Raw genomic sequence first — 22,266 nt, forward strand, 5'->3', positions numbered from 1 at the left:
GATTTTGGCCACGAGAAGAGAAGACTGAAATAACAACAAATGGCCCTAATCCCTAATTCCAGCTCCTCCAAAGTGAAGCTGGTTGTACAGGTCTCTTTTCTCAACTGCGAAATGGACAAAGAAAATTGTTGCTTGAATGGGATTACTACTCTTGCTATTTAAGTCATTTAGGTGATCTCACTAAGGCATTTTCCTCACCACGTATTTCTTAGAGATATAATTAATCGTATTCTTCTCAACATACTCTCTTGGTGAACAAACCCTTATGAAGACATTTTTAATTTAGAACTAAATCCAATTTTGGAAAGCATTAAGCAAATTTTACAATATTGTAATAGTCCTATGGAAGCTTGCTAAGTTGAAAAATCTATGCTCACAAAATTACTAAAAAATCTATAATGATGTAAGAGAAGTCTCGACTATTCAAGTAATCCAGTCACCCACGTGGAGCCACATATAGCAGATACTGAAGTTCTCTGATACCATAAAAGCCTCATTCCATTTGGGCACAAAAACAAAGGTGGTAACTGGAGCCTCTGCCCCTCAGAGTTCTAGATCTTAGGTAACTGTCTTGTAGTAAATGCAAGGAAACTTGAAGTTTCAGCTTCTCTCACTAGAGTAAGGTTTTTAAAGAACAGCATAGTTCTCCAAGCACTCGTGTATGCCAAAGTGTCACAATATGGATGTGAAGGGTGTGGGTCCATTTCCCTAAGAATACCCTCTCCGTTTTGGAGAATTTGTAGGAGGATTTTAGGTAACGTGAGCTAGCAGAAACCCTCATTTCTATTCAGAGGTCCAAGTTCTTTTGTAGCGCCTTTTTTATTTTATTTTTTTTTTTTAAAGAGAAGAAGGAGGGGGTCATGTGAAGAACCTGAGAAACATGTGACTGAGAAGCTGGAAAAGGTGGCTTTAACTCCAGCTCTGGCATCCAGGCCTCTGAGGTCCCACTGTGTTGGGGATCTCCAGGACCACCCCCAGGCTTACTGGTTCACTAGGAAGACTCACAGGACTCAGCACAATCATAGTCACAGCTGTGATTTTTTATAGCAAAAGGATACAAAGCACAATCAGCAAAGGAGAAAGATGCATGGGGTGAAACCCAGAGGATACCAGGCAAGCATCCTAGAGACTCTCCTGGTAGAGTCACACAGGACACATTTAATCCCTCAGCAGTGAGTTGTAACAACACAAGTGAGATGCTTTCTATCAGGAATGCTCCTTAGAGACTCAGTGCCCTGGGTTTTTCCTGGGGGCTGGTCATGTAAACACCCTCTGCCTGGCACTTAACAAAATGCCAGACTCTCAGAAGGAAAGCAGGTATTCAGCATAAACCAAATTGTGCTGTGCAGTTTGACACAGTGAGCCACTCTTATTCCACTTGTTGGGAATGGTGGGGGCCCTCCCCAAATCCACATTTCTAGACACCAGCATGGGGCCAGGCCTGTAAGCAGGCCTTTCTAAGGAAAGCAGTCTCAGGCCAGCTGCATTAACTCTTTCCTGCACTCACCTCTCTAGATCTCGGTTTCACCATGTCATTTCCCCCTGATTTGCTAGTTTGCTGTGGTTACCCTCCAAAAACACAGAGGAAGCCTCCTGTTAAGATGGAAACTGTGTAAAATGGTGGATTCATGGTCTGGGGTCACATCAAGTTACACAGCATGGCATGAGGCCATCCCTGCAGCAGGGCAGGGTTTCACTCTCGAGACCTGTTTTCCCAACAATCACGGTGACTTCGTCATTAAACAGTCCCTTCCCTTGATATCATGCCTTCCCTGATCATCTGTGCCCTCCAACTTTCCCTAAGAGATTGTTTAGTATTGCTATTGAGTTCTTTTTCCTCCTGTGTTCTCACCATATATTCAAAGACCAGAAGGCTGAGGTTCACAAAACACAGGAACTTAAAAAAAAAAAACAAAACAAAAAAAACTATTATCACAGATTATCTTTTGTAAAGAACATGAAAAGTAGTTTTATTCCCATCTAATCATCCTGTGCACAGATGGTGAGAGCAATTCCAGATCAGGCATGACTCTCAACCACAAGGAAGCACAGTCCACTTGTCTGCCCGTGGAGCCACCACTTGAGGGTCTGGGGCCCACTGCCGTCATGTTTGCCTTAGAGACATCAAGACAGTTGACTCCTGTATATTTCAATATTCCATCCCATTTCCAGATGCCCAGTATGCCATAAACTCTTTTGTGAAACAGGACGGAGAAAATTAAAAGGCAAGTCAGAAGAACAGGGTTTTGAACTTGGTTCTCTCTCTTAGTAGCTGTGTAATCTCTCAAAAGTCACTTCATGTTTCTAGGCCTCTGGGGTTTCCATGGACAAAATGACAGGCTCAGATAAGCTGCCCTGTGAGTCCACTCCAGTTCTATCTGGAATTTTAACATTACTTTCCCCCTTAAAGGAATGACCCAGGGTAAAAGTTTGGAATTAATTTGGTGTTAAGTTTCTCCATCACAGTTAAAATTATACATATCTGATCACTACATTATTTTAAAAATCTGGACTATAACAAAGTCGCATTTGTGGACTCCAATTGTCTTGGGTCTGATGAGACGCTGATCCCCTTGCATGGGCTTATACACATTGTGAATGACATGAAAACAGAAAGTTACATTTAAAACATGATTTCCAAAATTATAACTTATGAATTTTTATCCAAACACATTCTGGAATGGCTTCATTCATTCAAATATATTCTAAGCACCTACTATACTAAGTGCTGTCTGTACAGATATAGATACAGAATCATAGATACAGAACCATAAAACTGTAAGAGTGCTGAATTTTTCAATACCAATTGCTTTTAAAATCAGTATGTGGCATGGGACCTGGCCAGTTGTCTGAGTGAGAAACTCTCATTTCTGAGGAACTGGAATGGGAGCGGACCCCTGATGTATGATCTGGATAAAATCTCCAACTACCCTCTAACCTTATATTCTTTGAATAAAATAACCACAACAGAAAAAGTATTGCAAATCAAGATATTAACTGGAAAACAAAGGGGGCGGGGGGTTGGGTAGAGCAGAAGAAAGGAAAAAATCTGCACTCACCGGGACTGTGGCAATCCTTTTTTACTGAGATCTGCCCTCACACGTTCTCCTACATGTCTGTAAATTTCCACTAAGCTGTTTATTGCTGCATCTCGAACCTAGATATAAAAGAAGAGATCTTACAGCTGCTCTGTGTCATCCCCCAGCAAGTCCTGCTGGGACACAACAGGCCATATACCACCCCAATTTATCACCATTTTACCAGTGCAACTGTGAATACAATCCTTATATACATTTGTCTAGAGAAAGCCATGTTTTGACAGTTTTCACTTTGCTGATACAATGTCAAACGGTAGTAAAACTGTGGGACCCCCATCCCTATATACACGGCAAAGTCCATATCCTTAGTTCTTTCCGTTCTTTAAGGTAATTTTGGAAAACTGGAATTTTCAGACCATCTTTCCAAATTAAGAAACAACACTAAAAATAAATAAATGATACTAAAAATAAAATACCATGTAAAACACTCTGGATTTAAGTCAATTAAACAAATACTTAATGAGCAACAAAAATGGGTAGTACAGGCCATATGAAGTCCCATACTCAAGAAGCCCCTAGTCCTAAGAAGGAGATTTTTAAAAAGTCCTAAAAGTCTACATTACAGGGCATGATGGAATAAACATTATTCAAGAGCATAAAGAGGTTGTGGTTTAAAGAAGGGAGCAATCACATTAGGGGATGTCAAGGGATGCCATATGAGGAAGAAACCACTGCGAAGTGCTTGGAACAGCAGGATTTCACCAGGTCCAGATGGAATGAGCGAATTCCGAATAAGACACAGCCTGTGCAAAGGCACGAAAGCAGACATGCACGGCACATGCTTCAGGAAGAGGAAGTACGCCGGTCTGGCCAGACCAGATCAAACTAAGAAAGCAGCATGAAATACGAAATAAGGTGTGAGAGACAGGGTAGACTTTTTTTCTAACCTGGGGAAATTTGAATACGGACTGTATATTACACATCACTGTATCCATGTTAAATTTCCAGGGTGAGAAAAATGACATGCGTTAATATAAGAAAATATCTTTGTTATTAAATGATACATACACACTGATATGTCTAGGGTTAAAAATATCATCATAAGCCGGGCGTGGTGGCTCACGCCTATAATCCCAGCACTTTGGGAGGCCGAAGCGGGCAGATCACGAGGTCTGGAGTTCAAGACCAGCCTGGCCAACATGGTGAAACCTTGTCTCTACTATAAATACAAAAAAATTAGCCGGGCGTGGTGGTGCATGCACCTGTAATCCCAGCTACTCAGGAGGCTGAGGCAGGAGAATCACTTGGAGGCGGAGTTTGCAGTAAGCTGAGATCGTGCCACTGCACTCCAGCCTGGGCAACAGAGCAAGACTCTGTCTCAGAAAGAAAAAAAAAATCATTATATCTGCATGTTACTTTCAAATGGCTCAAGAAAAAAGTATGTGTCTGTATATGTATGTATGTGTGTACACAGAGATACAGAAGAAATGTAACAAATGTTAACTGGTAAATACACTCACTTTCTCTGTATGTTAAAAAATCTGCAAATAAAAAGGTAGGAAGAAAAACATTTTTAAAACATAAAATGGAACCAAGGCCAGGTGGTGTTGGGGAGACTGTGCTTAATTCAGTAAGCAAAGATGGGAGTACAACATCAAGGTAGTGGAGAATGAAGAGAAAAGAAGCAGGAATACAAGCAAAAATTTACAATTTGAAATACTGAAGGGAGTCCTCTGATTTAACAGTGTTACATGACAGGTAACTTTACTCATAATTTTTATCTCTTCCAGTGGAAAAAGGCAAATCTTAGGCTATATTGTCACCCAAAACCTCATGCTGTGGACTGAACTGTGTGCCCCCAAAATTCAAATGATGAAGCCCTAACTCTCCAACATATTTCAAGATAGGGCCTATAAGGATGCAATTAAGGGCCGAGCATGGTGGCTCACACCTGTAATCCCAGCACTTTGGGAGGCCAAGGTAGGAGGACAGCTTGAGCCCAGGGGTTTGGGACCAGCCTGGGCAACAAAGTGAGCGCCCATCTCTACAAAAAAAATTTTTCTTAATTAGCTGGGCCAGTTGGTACTCAGCTACAGTCCTACCTACTTGGGGGGGCCTGAGGTAAGAGGATTACTCAAGCTCAGGAGTTGGAGGCTGCAGTGAGCTATAATCCTACCACCACACTCTAGCCTCAGAGACAAAGCAAGACTCAAGCTTTTTTTTTTTTTTTTTTTTTTTTTTTTTTTTTAGAAAAAGGAGGTAACTGGGTATGGTGGCTCGTGCCTATAATCCCAGCACTCTGGAAGGCCCAGGCAGGCGAGTTTAAGTTCAGGAGTTCGAGTTCAGGCAAGTTCAAGTTCAGGCGAGTTCAAGGTCAGGAGTTCGAGACCAGCCTGGCAAACATGGTGAAACCCCGTCTCTACTAAAAAATACAAAAATCAGCTGGGCGTGGTGGCACACACCTGTAATCCCAGCTACTTGGGAGGCTGAGGTAGGAGAATCACTTAAACCCGGGAGGCAGAGGTTGCAGTGAGCTGAGATCACACCACTGCATTCCAGCCTGGGTGACAGAGCGAGACCCCCGTCTCAAAAAAAAAAAAAAAAAAAAAAAAAGGAGGCAATTAAGGTTAAATGAGGTCATGATGGCGGGACCCTAAAATTAGAGGATTAGTGTCCTCATAAGAGAAGCCAGAGAGCTGGGTACACACACAGAAGAGGTCATATAAGCACATAGTGAGATGGCAGCCATCTACAAGCCAGGAAGAGAGCCCCAACCAGAACCCGGCCTCTAAAACTGTGAAAAAATTAATTTCTGTTGTTTAACTCACTCGGTCTACAGCATTTTGTTATGGCAGCCAGAGCTGACAAACACAGATTATCAGTTTATTTTGAGGGAAAAAAATAATTTCTAATGTTAGGGAATATTTTTACATTGAAAATGCGGTCGGGCGCGGTGGCTCATGCCTGTAATCCCAGCACTTTGGGTGGCCGAGGCAGGCAGATCACTGGAGGTCAGGAGTTCGAGACCAGCCTGGCCAACATGGTGAAACCCCGTCTCTACTAAAAATACAAAAAAAAAAAACTTTAGCTGGGCATGGCGGCGAGCGCCTGTTAGTCCCAGCTACTTGGGACACTGAGGCACAAGAATCGCTTGAACCCAGGAGGCAGAGGTTGCAGTGAGCCGAGATTACACCACTTCACTCCAGCCTGGGTGACAGAACAAGACGCTGTCTCAAGAAAAAGAAAAAAAGAAAAATGCATATATTACAGAAGTAGTCAATGCTACTATACCTTGAATACTATTAAAGTGTATCACCATTGCTTAGTTTCTAGGGATAACATCTGCTCAGAGCAAATCTCAATGGGTGATCTCTTTAAAGAACAATCAATACCCAGGCAGCTACTTAGAAAGTCTGGGCCATAAACGTTTAAGAGATTTACTGGAAAAATTACTAGCTTTAGAGTCAAATATTAATAAGTAGACTTAAGGACCTACTTGGCCATTTAGGGAGCTGTGTAACCTTAGACAAAACACTAGAACTCCTTTGGTCTCAATTTCCTCCTCTGTAAACTGAGGGTTGCTCTGAGGACTGAAAGAAATAACAGTTTCATTCAACAAATATTTGAGTGCCTACTAGGTGAAAATGAACTGAAACGCCTACACAGGCCAGGCAGTGACATGAGGAGTGAGTGATTGCAGCAGGCTGAGTGCAGGGTGACAAATGGCACTGGCAGGGAACCCTGGAGGCAGGGACAGAAGAGGGATAAGGTGCTCAGGCAGATGGGCCACCACCACCCAGCCACAGAGGAATGGTAGCACAGCTTTACCAGGCCTTCTACCCTTTCAAGAAAAGTTAAAAATATAAGTCTCCCAAATATAAACTCATTTGAACTCAAAATGTAAAATTAAAACATTCTGCAGGCACAAGCATACACACACCCACAAATCTACAGGCTGAAACCAGCTTTATGCCAGCAGTTTGTGACCTATAGTTTGTATCTATAAAGCAATCAACACAACGGCTAGTGTTATCTCTATCTTTTAAACCAACATCTTTATCCTTTAAAATAATCGTTCCTTAGACCTAGAAAGTTACAGGGTCAGATAGCATTTAGGGGTCTAAACTATTCTTCACTGAAGAACTGCAGATGAACAGGTATTCTTTGGTACTGCAAAGTAGGACACTCTAATAGAGAAGAGGTTTAAACAAAAGCCATTCAGCTGAGACTGCAGGACAATGCAGCTATTCACTTCTACACAGGCTCTCACTGGTCTCGCACTGCCTCTCCCTGCTGACCCCTCAGGCTCACCACAGAAAGGCACCACAATGTGTCAGGCCATGAAGACTGCAAAAAGACAAGAGCCCCATACATGCAGCACGCTCTGCCAGGTCTTATATGTATGCTTTACAGAATCTAAGGTCTCCAACGTCTGACCATGTTGTTCCTTCCTTCCTCATAGTCACTGCACACTGGAGGGTGTAGAGGCTGGCAAGGTTAGTCACCTGCCCAATGCCCACAGATCAGGAATGGCAGGCTGGAGCACCTCTCTGGGGGCAAGTCAACATCCTTCTCACCAGCACACTGCACCTTAATGTGGATGCCAAAATAAAGGCTTCCTGCAAAGCAAAAAACTCAAAGGAAGGCTTCCGCCCTAGGGTGGGGGACAGGGAAGCAGTCTATAAACTGATGAGACCCTAAATCCACCCTGTCCTCCTAGAACCCAGCACAGCCCCACAGCCAGTGCCTTGGAGCGTGGGTACCCCAGCACCCCAGCACAGCTGTGCCCAAGAGCCCACCCCTGGCTCCCAGGCTGCAACTGTGGCAGGGCCGCATGGAAGCTCTGTCAAGCCAGCAGCAGAGGTGCTCCTCCCTCCTCCTGAGCTCTGTCCAGCTGGAGACAGCATGGAATTAGCAATGGTCATATGTTTCAAGATGTTTTAGGCTTTGAACCAAACTCAACAAGAGGGCCAGCAGTCAGCATGGGGAGTCCCACTGGATGCAACCCTCTGCCAGCCTGCCTGCAAAAGGGCAGGTGAGGTGCTGTGAAGATGAAATCAAAAGTCTTCAGGCAGAACTCAGGCTTTTCTTATCTAGTCAAGGGAATTCTTATTGTTAGGATGCCTCGGACCACTGGCTGCCTCTGTTACAGCCACTGCCCTGTCCTCATCAACAAGCACAGACTTCGTACTGAAATCCCCACCTCCAGGAAGAAAAGCTTCCCTCAGCTCAGGAGGTACATCCTTAGTGTACAGCCATCACACAATTCTGTCCCTTCCCAGCAGCTGGGTCACACAGGGGCACGGAATGCAACTCTCCAACAATGAAACATGAGGGGAATCTGTGGGAAAGCTTCTAGAAAACATTTCTCTGCTCTTGGAAAAAGACATTCAGGGAAAAGTGAACACTGGCTGGGTATCTGATGATAGGAGAGAACTGCTGATTCTCGGGACATAGGAGGTGACAATGGTATTAAGGTTATGTTTTTGAAGAAAAAAAGTCTATCTTTTAAAATATTTAAGAGTTAAATAAATGTGGTCTAAGATTTGCTTCAACATAATCTAACTTTTGCTTCAAAATAATGGGGTGGAGGAGGGGAAGAAGACAAAACTGAACTGGCCTTGTCGAATGAGCTGATGGCACATGGGGACGCTTTATGGCACTCTCACTGCTTACGTGTATGTTTGAACCTTTCGATATGAAAGTTGAAAACAGAAGAGGAGCTCACAAAGCAGCAGCCTCCTCTCTGCCAGGCCAACCGTGCGTGTGGTACCGGTGCTGTGCCTGTGCTGAGAGCTCTAGGAGGCAATGCACACAGGCTGAGGTGCCCAAGACTCCGGCTCCGAGCTACTGGCAGATCCCGGAAACTTCCTACGTCATGCAGAATGACACATTTCCCCACTGCTCTAATGATTCTGAGTTGGGCTTTCAGTTACTTGTAACCAAAAGCATCCTAGCCCACACACACTGTGCACCTGTGGCCCACTCTGAAAGGCCTCCCTGCTCTGAGTCACTGCATTCGGACCACCAAGGAAACGAACACTTGCCAAGTTAATTTTAAACACCAAATCCAGTCTTTGTTAGCCGCTGCCTGAAGAGCTGAGAGAGGATTCTCCGCACACTGGCTTTAGGGAAATGAAGAGCTGGAGGCTGACTACTAGGTCAGGTGTCTAAGTGCAGAGACAACACTGATACAACAGTGTCCTCTCTGGTCTGAGACTTGGCAAATAAGGGAAAGTCATTCAAATAGTTATGGGGCATTGGGAACTGCAAAGAGGAACAAGTTATAATCTTAACTCTAGAGGTTCAGAGACTAGTAGGAAAGATTAATGAAAAAATTAAAATAAAGGCAACAGCAAAAGCACATGCAAGCTACACAAGAACCCCAGAAGCAGGAATAATTAACTTGGTTAGTATCGGGGAGGTAGGTGGCAGAACTTCCTGGCAGAAGGGAGACATGGATTGATTGTATGTCTGTGTATGTGTGTGTGTGCGCGCACGTGTGCAAATATATGTGCGGACAAAACATTCCTAAGGCACATGTGAATATATGGATTATTTTCAGAGTGCTCAATTTGGAATACTCTAGCTGTAAATCCTGTCTACTACAGAATACTGAAAGCTGCCCGTAGAGTACCAACCTCATCTTATGGATGAGGTGGGGGAAATGAAAAAACAAAACAAATAATAAGAAGTTTCTCAAAAGCAGACACACAGGCCTAGAACTCAGCCCACAAAACCATTATAGGCTCCAAACTCCTGACCAAAGCCTAGGGCTTCCTGGCACAAAAAGTATAACTGCCATTAAAGACACTAGGCAGGAAGTGCTAACTTGAATTTTTGGCTTAATGAAACATTTTAGACAAGTCTCACATTTTCTATCTTATTTTAAAAAACTATCTCTCTGCTTCTTCATAAATCATTTTTAAAATTATACAATCTATTTATGATTTATACAGCAGTAAGATGTAATCCATTTAAATGTACTACTTTTGTTTTTCGGTTGTATTATTATTATTATTCCCCATAATCAGTCCAGGAGCACCTGATTTTTGGTAGTGAAACTAGTGTCTGGTATATGGCAGTATGTGTATAGTCTACTCCAGGGCTGCCAATGTTTGGTGTAAGTATGGCTATGTCAATATCACAAATACATCTCAAGACACTAAGGCTATCCTGCAATTAAGGTTTTTCATATATTTAAAGCACTATACAGCTGAGTTTCTCAGAAACCCACTGGCACATGGTAGGTGCATGATTTCTGCAAATGAAAATGACCATCTCAGATGATGAGGAGACTACTGAGTAACTTGGCCTTCTGAGAGTCTTCTACTTAGACCAACAGGTCACACCAGCACCTAAGAATATTCACTTGCAAGGACTCTCATAAGGATTGAGGGGTGAGGCACTTCCCACTGACTCCACTATAAAGGGGAAACTGAGGCTCAAGATGCAAGTGACCCCAAGGTCAGCTATTACATGCAAAGCAGGGATCTATGCCTTTAACGTAGGTGTCTTACATTGCGTCAGGTAGCTCAAGTATTAATATTAAACATACTCTGCCTTTTGGCAACTTTAAAACAGTATGTCAAACTGTTAAAGACTCGACATTATCTTAAACTCTTAAACAACTGAATCTACATTTTGAGAATGTGGGATTGTGCTGATCATTTGAAATTTAATCTGTGTACTTCTAAAATAAAGAAAATCTTGTTAAAATCCCTAGAGACCTTACAAGTTAACCCTAGATCTAAAGGAGAAAAATAGTATCAGAGAGTAGCCCAACACAAAAACAGACTAGGCCCTTCCTGTCTCCTTTCTACCAAAGCTTTAGGGAACTTTTAAGTGAGACCTCCTCTAGCAGAAAACTTCAGAGAAAAGGAAAACCTGTGAAGAGTAGGGCATTCTCCAAGGCTTATCTGAATAGCTTCAAGGATGAGAATGTACCCATTCAAAATTTTAAATATGCTTAACATTCCACTCCCAATGTCTCTTAAAATCTACACCGAGTCCATGATCTTTTGGGCGGGGAAATACTGAGGTTATTCATCAGTGAAGAGCCCTAGGACAATGAGGCATTTCCTTCACTTTCCTCTGGAGGATGTGGTCCGCCTCAGTTGCAGAAGCAAAATTTGAGGCTCAGAAGCAAAATCAAGCTAGTAATCTCCATCCCCTTCCCCAAAAAGCCCAAGGATCCACACAGACAAGACAGGCCCACAGCATGAGCTCTCGCTAAATATATGTGGAAGAAAAAGAGGAAGAAGGGGAAATGGGGGTGAGTGAGGGGACCCTGTGGGATGGACTGCAGTGTGGTGCACAGCCATGCAGTGCTCCCCTCCCCAAACCAGACTCTAGACAACGTCCCTTGTTGTAGTTCTGGCTAGTGTCGGTCTGGGCTGTGGTTTTATGTTGCCCCACCACAGAAGTGCATTTAGAGGTGACAGCCCTCCACCGCCCACCCCAGGTATGAAGATCTCCACAGGCAGTGTGAACATTCACATCACCTGTCTGGCCAAAGTCAGCAACTGAATGAGGAGAGAATCACCTCAGCAAGTTGGCTTTTCTGCTCTGCTAGAGCACTCCATGTGGCGGCAGCGAAACCCCCAGAGTGCGGCCTCTATAAAGGATTTTTCCCACGGAAAACAAAAACAGAAACAAAACCAAAAGGGAGGAAGGATACAAAACGATAATCTATTTGGTAACTTAGAATCTTTTTAAAAAATAGTACAATTTATTTTTAAATTAACGTTGAATATAAAGTATGATTAAGTAAATAAAAATGTCTAAACATTTATTTCCCATGCCATATATTTTCCTTTTTTTTTTTTTTAAAGAAAAAGTCTTGCTGGGTTGCCCAGGCTGGAATGCAGTGGCACGATCTTGGCTCACTGTAACCTCTGCCTCCCAGGTTCATGCGATTCTTGTGCCTCAGGTTCCCAAGTAGCTGCGATCACAGGTGAACGCCACCATGCCTGGCTAATTTTTGTATTTTTGGTAGAGATGGGGTTTCACCATGTTGGTCTGGCTGGTCTCAAACTCCTGGCCTCAAGTGATCCACCCACCTTGGCCTCCTAAAGTGCTGGGATTACTGGCATGAGCCACCACGTGCCCGGCCTAATGCTATATATTTTCAACAAAGGCTGAAAAAGGGCGTGAGTGGAAGAAGAAAGCAGGGAGACAGCAGACGACAGGCAGTGAGGAGGGGAGAGGCTGGGGTGGAAGGAGCAGCACAACAGCCAAAGAGAAGGGAGAGACGCCTGCTGCTGGAACTAAGAGCACGATAAGGAAAGGGCCTGGAGAGCAAGAGGGGAGGGGTGCCGACTCAGGGGAGCTAGAGGCCAGGGGAGGTCGGGTAGAAGGCCAGCCTGATACAACCTCCTGGGAGGGTAACTTAGCAGTTATCAACCAAGATTTCACAGGAGAGGCCACTGACCATATATATTTCTCTTGTAAATTACTGTTCCATTTTCTGTCCCTTCTTCTAATGAAGTATCATTCTTATCAGTTTGTATGAGATGACATAATAAAAATGACTCTGGTTGAGAAATAGCATTGAACTGGGAGGAGAGTTCAATGCTATTTCTCCAGCCCAGACTTGTACAACTTTGTGAATTGCCTGGTAACTCACAGGTGAGACAGCCAGCTCCTCTCCTACCCTCACACTGAGGAAGTGGTACTTTTTGTTAATTTAGGTAAAGTCTGCAGTTCTTAAGGGTTCAGTTGAGGAGTTTCCACGATGATATACACAGTGGAGCCACCCCCCAAAGCAAAATGTAGAACATTCCCATCACCTCAGAAAATTCCCCTCAGACCCTCTTTCAATCATTCTCCCCAACCTCAGCAGATTCTGCACCTCCACCCCCGGCACCACCCCTTTTGGCTGCAGAGGTGGTGGCCAGACATCTTATCTTGGAGGCTGGTCTGGATAACATCAATTTCTAGGCTAGTGATTTCTCAGCCCTGTGTATAGAAGAGGACAGACTGGCCACCACATTTACCAATTTTATACTTAAATGTAAACTTATTTTATACATTTGAATGTATAAATATTTTATAAATGCTAATGGGTACTGGATCTCTTAAATAATCATCAGTGTTCTGTGAAGATTAGGACTCCAGTCCCACCCACTACGGAACACCAGAATGCATCTCAACAGTCTGTAAGCAATGACTTCTCCCGAGGGTTTTCCTTCTCACTCACCTGGCTGTTTGGATCTCCAAGTAAGTTGCATATATGTGGCACAATCTTGCTTAGTGTTAAAGTCTGTGCTCCAGAGCTGAAAACAAAAGGAGTGCTTTCTTGTTAGTGAGAACTGAGGAAAGAAAGAAAGATGCCTGTCTGCCCACACCTGCCCTTCCCGTGTCTCCCCAATCCCCATCACCACCTCATACCAAGTCTCTCTCCATCCCATCCACACTGGCTCCAAAGTAAATGTGTCCGATGGCCCCTTTGCACAGAGTTCAAAACCTAGGGTGGCTTCTCCCAGATAAGTCTTCGTCCTGTCCCCCAGGGCTCTGGCCAATCTGGCCCTAACCCTTTAAGGCTGGGCCAGAGCTCCAGCCCCCCAGGTCCCGCTTGCCTCACAGGTGCTGCCTCTGCATTACTGTCTGTCACTTTAAGCCAACTACGAGTCACTTGAGGGACCTTGTTTAATTCTCCCGTGTGCTGTGGCAGAGCTAGACATTCAGGCAACACCGCTGGATGAAAAGACTGCAATCAAATCAGAGCATCTACCCTACTGGGGCACATCTGAGCCAAGTACTGCCCTACTGGGGCACATTTGAGTTACAATTTTCACCATCACCATCCCTGTCATGACAAATAGCCTTTGTGAATAAAAATCTCTTGGTTAATCTGCCTACTACCTTAGCATACATTCCTAAAACTGGAGCTACTGTGATCAAAGGCTAGAAGTTTTCTTTTTTTTTTCTTAAGCTTCAGTTACATATGGCCAAATTTAATGGCACTGAAAAGGCTAACATATTAAGATGGAAAAAATTTACAAGTAATATAAACATTATAATCTCAATTTTGTTTTTAAAAATAACATAACTTTACAGGTTAGGATAAAATGCACCAAATTTAACAGTGATTACCTGAAGGTAACAGAATCATAGCAATCTTTATTTTTTCCTTGCGTACATTTTTATGATATATACAGTATTTTTTCATAATCAGAAAAAAAGGCTTGAAATTTATAATTTTTAAAAAGCCTCTCCTACAAATAAGCACATGAAAAAAATGTTCACCATCAACAGCCATTAGATAAATACAAATTAAAACCACAATGAGGTATTACTACACACATATAAAAATGGCTAAAATAAAAAAATGACAACATCCAATGGCTAGCAAGGGTATGAAGAAACCAGATTATTCGGACATTGCTGGTAGGAATGTAAAACAGTATGGACAACTCTGGGGAAAAACTTGGCAGTACCTTTTAAACTAAAAATGAACTTACCAAATCACCCAGCAAGTGTACTCTTGGGCAGTGATCCAAGAGAGATGGAAACTTATGTTCATGTAGAAACTTGTACATGAATGTTCATAGCAGCTTTATTCATAAAAGCCAAAAACTGGAAATTACCCAAATGTTCTTCAACAGGTGACTAGTTTAACCAACTGTGACACATCTATACCAAGGAATTCTATTTAGCAATAAAATGAACTATCAAATGTCAGGTGCAAACTCAAGGGCATTATGCTGAGTGAAAAAAAGATAAACTCAAAAGGTTACATATTGTATAATTCCATTTACATAACATTCTTGAAATGACAAAATCATAGGGAGGGAGAACAGATTCCTGGAAATTCAAATACATTCATGGTTGCCAGGGGTCAGGGTGCAGCTACACACAGCAGCATGAAGGAGCCCGGCAGTGACTGTGCAGTTGTATATACACACAAATGCACATGTGGTTTTACCTGAGAAATTTGCGCAAGTTCTAGGGATTGTATCCATCTCAACTTCCTGGTACTGATGCTGTACTATAGTTATTCAAGGTGCTAACACTGGGCAAGGGTGGGTAAAGGGGGCATGAGATCTCACACTACACTTCTTTGCAACTTCCTGTAAATCTATAATTATTTCAAAATAAAAAGTTTTAAAAAATTCAGCCACGTAAAAATGTCAGGCTCATCCCAGACTTACGCATTGAGTGTTGCTATAAGGCAGAGACAGATGCCTTCTCGAGTACGGAAATTCTTGTGTTTGAAGCCTCCAAGCATTCTGTCCCATACGTACTGCAGATGACAAAGAACAGGTGAGGAAAGGAGAAGACTGCTGCAGCTGACACTTTATAAGGGAGCAATAGAAGGCAAGCCTCTTAACGAGCGCCAAATTAGTCCCATCCTCTACCAACACATTTAATCCTCTCGAGAGCATACTGGAAAATGATGACATCTATCATGTTATCAAGTATATCAAATTACAATTTTTAAAACACATTCATTTACATAATTGCATTTAATTCTCCCAAGAACCCTGAAAGAGAGGTATAACTGTCCTCATTTTATGGGTGAGGAAAGCAAGGCCAAAGGAGCTAGTGAGTTGCCAAAGATCACACACTCACACTGGCCTCTGTTTTTTCTGATCACCCCCCAATAAAGGACAGTAGAAGCTGGGAAAGCAGGGCTGTTTTGGTCCATCCCAGCAGCCCCAATTCACCGGAAGACAGGGGCCAGGGCTCCAGCCAGGCCTCCTGACTCCCCAGACACCACAGCTCCCTCTTTTCAGAGAATTGGAGAGTCGGTTACATAAATGAGCTGAAGAGTCTAATGGATTAAAACTAAGTATATTAGATTCAATACCCCCATGTTAAATCCACTAATTTACTCATCTCATAGTTTTGTGACTTATTTAAATATCTTGCATGGGGAAACAGATTGAATGCTGTGAAAATTTTTATCTGTAATACATCAGCTTAAGTCTATGGAGTCACACCATTTGTGCAAGTACACACACACACCCTCGCACGTGCATGCACGCGCACTGGCCAGCTGACCTCAAAACACATCTCTTGCCCCTACCTGGGGATTAGCAGCTTGATCCATGATCTTTAGCAGCAGAGTTTGGTCCTGCTCCCTCACAGAGTCTTTAGCATCTCCTAGTCTGTCTATTAGACTTGGCAGCACTGAAAATCAAAATGGAAACTGATCAAATGAAACCCTATTTGGGGGTCTGTGGTCACCAAGTATTCCTATCTCAATTATGTGGGAAGACAAACCCCTGACCTAAATGATGTATCTCATTCTAAAACCACTCATCTTTGCTCACAGCTCTACTCTCCTTGCTGAAGTCCATGAAAGTCACCAAAAGAGTCTGCAAAATCCTTTGCATGGACAGATACACTATTTGTCTTCCTCCTTACCCCACGTTCCTCCAGCCAGTTCCCAACGTATTTGTAAGCTGATAAAAATGGAAGACCTTGAGAGGAAGAGTCAACAGAAAGGAAAATTTAGGTAAAACACAAGGAGAGGGGCTCCAGTATATGTGTTTGGGGGTGGAAGGAGTGGGCACTTATGAATAAATCTTAAGTTTCATCACTATTGTGTATTTTTAGTTTTACATCACGCCCATACACACATGAGACAGAGCCCAGCTCTCCATCTTCCCCGACATACCCAGGGTGGACCCTCCCACCAGTGGTCCAAGTGCACCTGTAGACCAGAGATCAGCTTATTTTAAGAGTTTGTAAACCTCTATTACATGAGATATCCCTGAATAATTCAGCTAATTTAGGAGGAAAATGGAACACTATTAAAATATCAAATGTCTAAAAGTAAAAGCTTTTTTTAAATTTGTAAACAGTCGGTGCTCATGACCTTTTCAGAAGGAGCATATTGGTCGGAAAGTTAACAGTAAAGAATACATGTGTACCAACGTAAAACAGAGAAATTCCATAAGGAAATGGTTGCATAGAGATGCTTAGTGTTTATACTACCCCCATGAAACACCGGAGGTCAGGAATTTAGAGGTATTTAAATCTATGAAATCTGTGGGTTTTGTTTCATTTTGCTGACATACTGTTTTCCCTTCAAAATAAGAGTGAACATTTACTATACATTTGTAATGACATTTACAATCAAGGTGAAAATAGTCATGCCAACCATAATCATCTGGAGAAAAATACAACTGGCTTGGTTTTATAGGATTTCTCAAGGAAAACTGCCTCTCATTAAAGGGGACCGGGGTCAGGGTAAAATATGACTTGGTTGGCACTAAAGAGTGACAGCTAATTTAGCATAAGAAATAAAAATGGCACTAATATTTCATATTAGAACACGTATTACTAAGTTCCGTGTGAGAACACAGTGAAGCCAGTACAAAGGTATGGGGGAGGGTAAGGGCGCCCGCAGGCCCAGAGGCCAGGGGAGTCCAGCTGGAAGGGAAGGCAGCGGGGCGGCCGACCCAGGCTGCGAGTGCTTAGGGGGGCTGCGGGGGAGGGCGGGGACTGGCTGTTTGGGAGGAGCGGAAGGGAGGGAGAGGGGGCTGGAGGGGAGGCAGGGTGGCTGCCGGGAGGGTTTGGGAGCCGGGGAGGCCGAGGGAAGGCTGGGGGTCTGAAGGGGCCGGGTCCGCTCCACAAGTGCCGCAGCTCACCTGTGCCGATCTGCGCCTTGAACCGATCCTGCAGCCGGGTCACCAGGGCGGACAGGATGTCCATGCCCAGCAGAACCACCTGCAGCGGGAAACACCGGGAGCCTGTTAGCAGCCGGCCTGCGGGGCAGCGCTCCCGCCCACCCGCTCCGGGGAGGCCTAGACATTTCCGGCCCAGACGCAGTCCGAGAGTCCAGACGCATGCCGACTGGAGGACCAAAGAGATTAGCACGAAGAAGGATGATCTTCCACAAAAAGAGCTATGTACAGCTATAATGGAAAATACTCGGTGAGGAGAAACGAAATAAAAGGCAATACAGCGTAGCCAAACCCGGGTTAGCTGCGGGTGGAGTTCAAGAGCGCGCCGCGGTCCCGCCCCCGCCAGCCCCGCCCCGGCGAGAAAAGCGTATGCAAATTTTCGAGCGGCCGACGCGCGGTCTTCTGGGTAAAACCGAGCCGCCGCTTTTGCGACCCTTCGGGAGCCTCAGAAAACAAAGAATTGGGGTGTCGTCGAAAGCTGTGGAGGCTGGAGGTAAGCTAGCTACCAGACCGACTAGGGCGAGGCTCACGAATTAATTACCACAACCCTACCAGGTATTGGCGCTTCCTGCTTGCAGCCCAGGGACTTTCTATTATAACCATCCTTTTCTTGGGGTTGCGCTACTGTCCAATGAGCGCATAGTGAGGGCAGTACTGCTAACGCCTGAACAACACACCCGCATCAACTAGAGCTTTTGCTTTATTTTGGTGCAATTTTTGGAAAAATGAAAACCTGTTTTCATAGACTTATCAGTTCAAACAGCAGTAATTCGTAAATAAACTAGTACTTTGTGGTTAAACCAGTAGAGGGTGCACAAGACGCGTGGTTTTAGTGTCGCAAGTAAAGTTCTTTCAGTTTTTGCGGTGATTAAACGGGAAGGATTTCAACAGAACTTCACCCCTTTAACTTTACGCCGATCATCAACTGTTCTGTAACTTCCTTATGCTGAGTCAGCCCAGTAGTCTAGGTCAAGTTTCAATAGGAGACGAAGTTTCAGTAGGTCTTTGCACCTCACATAAAATGTAATCCAGGTCGGGCGCGGTGGCTCACGCCTGCAATCCCAGCACTTTGGGAGGCCGAGGGGGGCGGATCACGAGGTCAGGAGATCGAGACCATCCTGGCTAACACAGTGAAACTCCGTCTCTCCTAAAAATACAAAAAATTAGCCGGGCGAGGTGGCCGGCGCCTGTAGTCCCAGCTGCTCGGGAGGCTGAGGCAGGAGAATGGCGTGAATCCGGGGGGGTGGAGCCTGCAGTGAGCAGAGATCGCGCCACTGCACTCCAGCCTGGGCGACAGCGAGACTCCATCTCAAAAAAAAAAAAAAAATAGTAATCCCAGCACTTGGGGAGGCCGAGGCGGGCGGATCAGGAGCTCAGGAGATAGAGACCATCCTGGCCAACATGGTGAAACCCCGTCTCTACTAAAAATACAAAAATTAGCTGGGCGTGGCGGCGCATGCCTGTAGTCCCAGCTACTTGGGAGGCTGAGGCAGGAGAATCGCTTGAACCTGGGAGGCGGAGGTTGCAATGAGCCAACATCGGGCCACTGCACTCCAGCCTGGCGACAGAGCAAGACTCGGTCTCAAAAAAAAAAAGAAAAAGAAATGTGAAATAGTGAGCTTTTTGTGGAATGGTCCAATAGTCAGATTAAACCCTTCCTCCGTATGAAGCAGTTTTGCACTGTGAGACTTCATTAAACATGCTTCCAACACAAAGCCGGGCACTGCCCAATGTTCACACAACAACCAAACAGGACGGGGCAACAGTTAGGATTTCTTGTATACAGCCTGTGCCTGCCTGCCTCTGGCGGCTGATAAAAGCAAAAACTGCAGACTTTTCTATTCAGCTTTGAAATCTACTGCTTCAAAACTGAAGGAATCTAAATTGGCCCAATAATCCCCACAATACATAAAATGTTCTTGCAAGAAACTGGCTACTTGACAATATTGAAGAAAATAATTTTTAAAACTTTTATAAAGAGAACAATTTGTAAACAGATTTTTTAAATAATATAATAATGGTATAAACACTTTAAAATAATGACTCTACTTTCCAGCTAAAAGGGATTAGGTTTCACACTATGACTTCCTTCCAGAGTACAGTATGAAGTGGAGGAGTAACTATCCTGCGGAGAAAACTGACAGACGCAACCTCAGCCAGATGGTGGAGGTCAACATCAAGTACACGTCATATGATGTCATGAAAACGGCATTTTGCCTGTGACAGTCCTTCCCAAGACCCTTAAGCTCAGTCTAAACATGAGGAAAACATCAGAGAAATTCCAATAGAGGGGCATCCTACAAAACACCTGACCAGTACCCCTCAAAACTGTCCAGGTCATCAAAAACAAGAACTCTGAGAAACTGTCACAGCAACAGGAGCCAAGGGAAACATAACAACTAAAGGTAATGAGGTATCCTGGAAAAGAGTGTGCAACAGAAAGATGACATTTTTCCTTAGGTAGAAACTAAGGAAATATGAATAAAGCATGAACTCTAGTTAATAATAATACATCAATACTGGCTCATTAATTGTAATAAACCACATTAATGTTAGATATAATAATGAGATATTTGTAATTTTTCTGTAAAAAAGTTTATTTTTTAAAAAGAACAGCCCATCACTTAAGTGAGTTATTTAGCTTTTGTCTGGTGAAATCTTAAGCTTATCTGCACAGTTGCATTACTGGTTGCAGGTAGGGGTGTTATTCATGACAGAAACATCCCTTCATACATCGTTCAAGGCTAAGGTAAAGAGGACTATTGTTTATTTGGGGGAAAGCTGACGTCAGCTTTTCCAGGATGGCAGTTTACTTGGTAGGTCTGAGCAGAGAAGGCCTCGCTAAGCCCCGGACAGTCAAGTTTCAATGCGTTGCCTAGAGGAACTGGGGAGCCTGGAAACTCCCGAAGAAGACTGAGTGGGTAGATGCACCTGAGCCCCAGAGAAATAGGACAGGAGAGGTCCAGGGTGTCAGCCAGGAGGACAGAAGGCAGTTCCAGGCACTTTCACAGCTCAGGCCCTTCTCCTGGGTTTCCATTTCCCTACTGAAGAAAGGGATACATGAAAAAGTCCTTGCCCAGAAGACCACTCTGATAATTAACTATAAAAACCTCTTTGTGCCTAACCTCCTCATCTGTAAAACATGGACAATAATAACAGCTGCCTCGTGGGTTGTTGTGAGGGTTAAATAAAGTGTGTATGTAAACTGTGCCTGGCACGTGGTAAGGGTACTTTTTTTTTCCCCCTATTTCTGCTTTCTTCAGCCCTTAGGTTTATAAAACCAACTTCTTCTGCATGGCTCACTGGAATACACAATTCTGTTTTATGGAATGAGGTGTTACCTGATTCTAAAGTCACGAATAAAAGTCAATCAAAATCTTTAAATTTGTTGTAATTTTTTTCTTCCAACACCATTAACTCTGCGTGACCCTTGACTCTGACATTTTACTTAATTATCTACGTTTGTGCTTGTTTCCCCAGCTACACTCCTTGAATGTAAGGAATACTATCATCTTGCATTTCCTCAGAATTCCCATAATAAGTAGCACAATGCTGGGTACACGGTAGGTGATCAATAAACCCTACTGTATTGATGTGAATGAGACTGGAATAGATGAGTTCTCAAGGTCCAACACATCTTCTTTATCCTACAAACCTTTAAAAGACTCTTTTGTAAAAGAGAGAAGAGGGCTGACCAGGTCACTGGGACCAACACTCCTGCCGAGCACAACTAAAAAATGCTGGACATAAAAGGACACCTGCAGCATCAGAGAACTAAGAAGGCACAGAAGAACTTCCAGGTCAAGAAACAGAGACAACCAAAATTTACAGATATAAGCCTGCAACAACTGGTTCACTTTGCCCTGGGGCCATTTATACACTGGGAAAGGGCACAGAGAATCACTTTTAATAACCTCTTGGGTCATCTAGGAGGGCAAAGGTTAGATTCCAAAGCCCTCCAAAGTTGGTGACCTAGTTAACCCCCTACCACATGTGCTGGAAACCCAAATGGCTAGACTTTAGGAGGAGAGTGAGTTGGAAATAAAACAGCCTTCACAGGGACTGCAGCCCAGTTTCCAAGCATCTGGGTGGCCCAGAAAAATCCTAATCCCTGACATCAGATTAAAGTGAGGTTAGACTGTTTGTGCCCAAAAGCCCTGAGCAGATAAAAACACAAGTCATTTCTGGATAAAGAAAACATCATCCTAATAATCTAGTCCTCGGATTATTCCTGTAAAAATTTTCTTTTGTTGTTGTTGTTGTTTGTTTTTTTGAGACAGAGTCTCGCTCTGTTGCCCAGGCTGGAGTGCAATGGCACGATCTCTGCTCACTGCAACCTCCGCCTCCCGGGTTCAAGAGATTCTCGTGCTTCAGCCTCCCAAGTAGCTGGGACGTGTTATCAGCCCAGCTAATTTTTGTATTTTTAGTAGAGACGGGGTTTTATCATGTTGGACAGACTGTTCTTGAACTCCTGACCTCAAGCAATCTGCCTGCCTCAGCTCCCAAAGTGCTGGGATTACTGACGTTGAGCCATTGTGCCTGGCCTATTCCTGTAACAATTTTTCAAAGAGAACATCTGAAACACAACC

General features: G+C 43.8%; 1 protein-coding gene, 1 long non-coding RNA gene and 1 other non-coding gene across 38 annotated transcripts in view, besides 2 other annotated features; 2 read left to right on the forward strand and 1 right to left on the reverse strand.

Annotated features, from left to right (window-relative positions):
• Window positions 1-22,266, reverse strand: part of CLASP1 (cytoplasmic linker associated protein 1) — a 311,687-nt gene that overhangs the window by 174,830 nt on the left and 114,591 nt on the right. For all 36 annotated transcript variants that reach the window (XM_047443792.1, XM_047443782.1, XM_006712383.2 and 33 more), the window contains 5 exons: window positions 17,642-17,720; window positions 16,072-16,175; window positions 15,194-15,285; window positions 13,240-13,315; window positions 3,060-3,157 (listed from right to left, as the gene is read on the reverse strand). In XM_047443792.1, the coding sequence (XP_047299748.1) occupies window positions 3,060-3,157; window positions 13,240-13,315; window positions 15,194-15,285; window positions 16,072-16,175; window positions 17,642-17,720 (449 nt within the window). The remainder of the gene's footprint in view (window positions 1-3,059; window positions 3,158-13,239; window positions 13,316-15,193; window positions 15,286-16,071; window positions 16,176-17,641; window positions 17,721-22,266) is intronic.
• Window positions 17,433-17,632: a silencer, noted in NCBI's record as "silent region_11922". NCBI's record gives its function as "represses an Ori minimal core promoter by ATAC-STARR-seq in GM12878 lymphoblastoid cells {active_cell/tissue: GM12878}" and the evidence as "EXISTENCE:reporter gene assay evidence [ECO:0000049][PMID:35858748]".
• On the forward strand, window positions 17,563-21,061 carry CLASP1-AS1 (CLASP1 antisense RNA 1). Its single transcript, XR_001739683.2, has 2 exons — window positions 17,563-18,170; window positions 19,773-21,061. It is a non-coding gene; the product is annotated as a CLASP1 antisense RNA 1 (long non-coding RNA).
• Window positions 17,823-17,952: an enhancer, noted in NCBI's record as "active region_16465". NCBI's record gives its function as "activates an Ori minimal core promoter by ATAC-STARR-seq in GM12878 lymphoblastoid cells {active_cell/tissue: GM12878}" and the evidence as "EXISTENCE:reporter gene assay evidence [ECO:0000049][PMID:35858748]".
• Window positions 18,275-18,404, forward strand: RNU4ATAC (RNA, U4atac small nuclear). Its single transcript, NR_023343.3, has one exon. It is a non-coding gene; the product is annotated as an RNA, U4atac small nuclear (small nuclear RNA).

The sequence above is a fragment of the Homo sapiens genome, chromosome 2 (assembly GCF_000001405.40).
Source record: "Homo sapiens chromosome 2, GRCh38.p14 Primary Assembly".
NCBI lineage: Eukaryota > Metazoa > Chordata > Mammalia > Primates > Hominidae > Homo > Homo sapiens.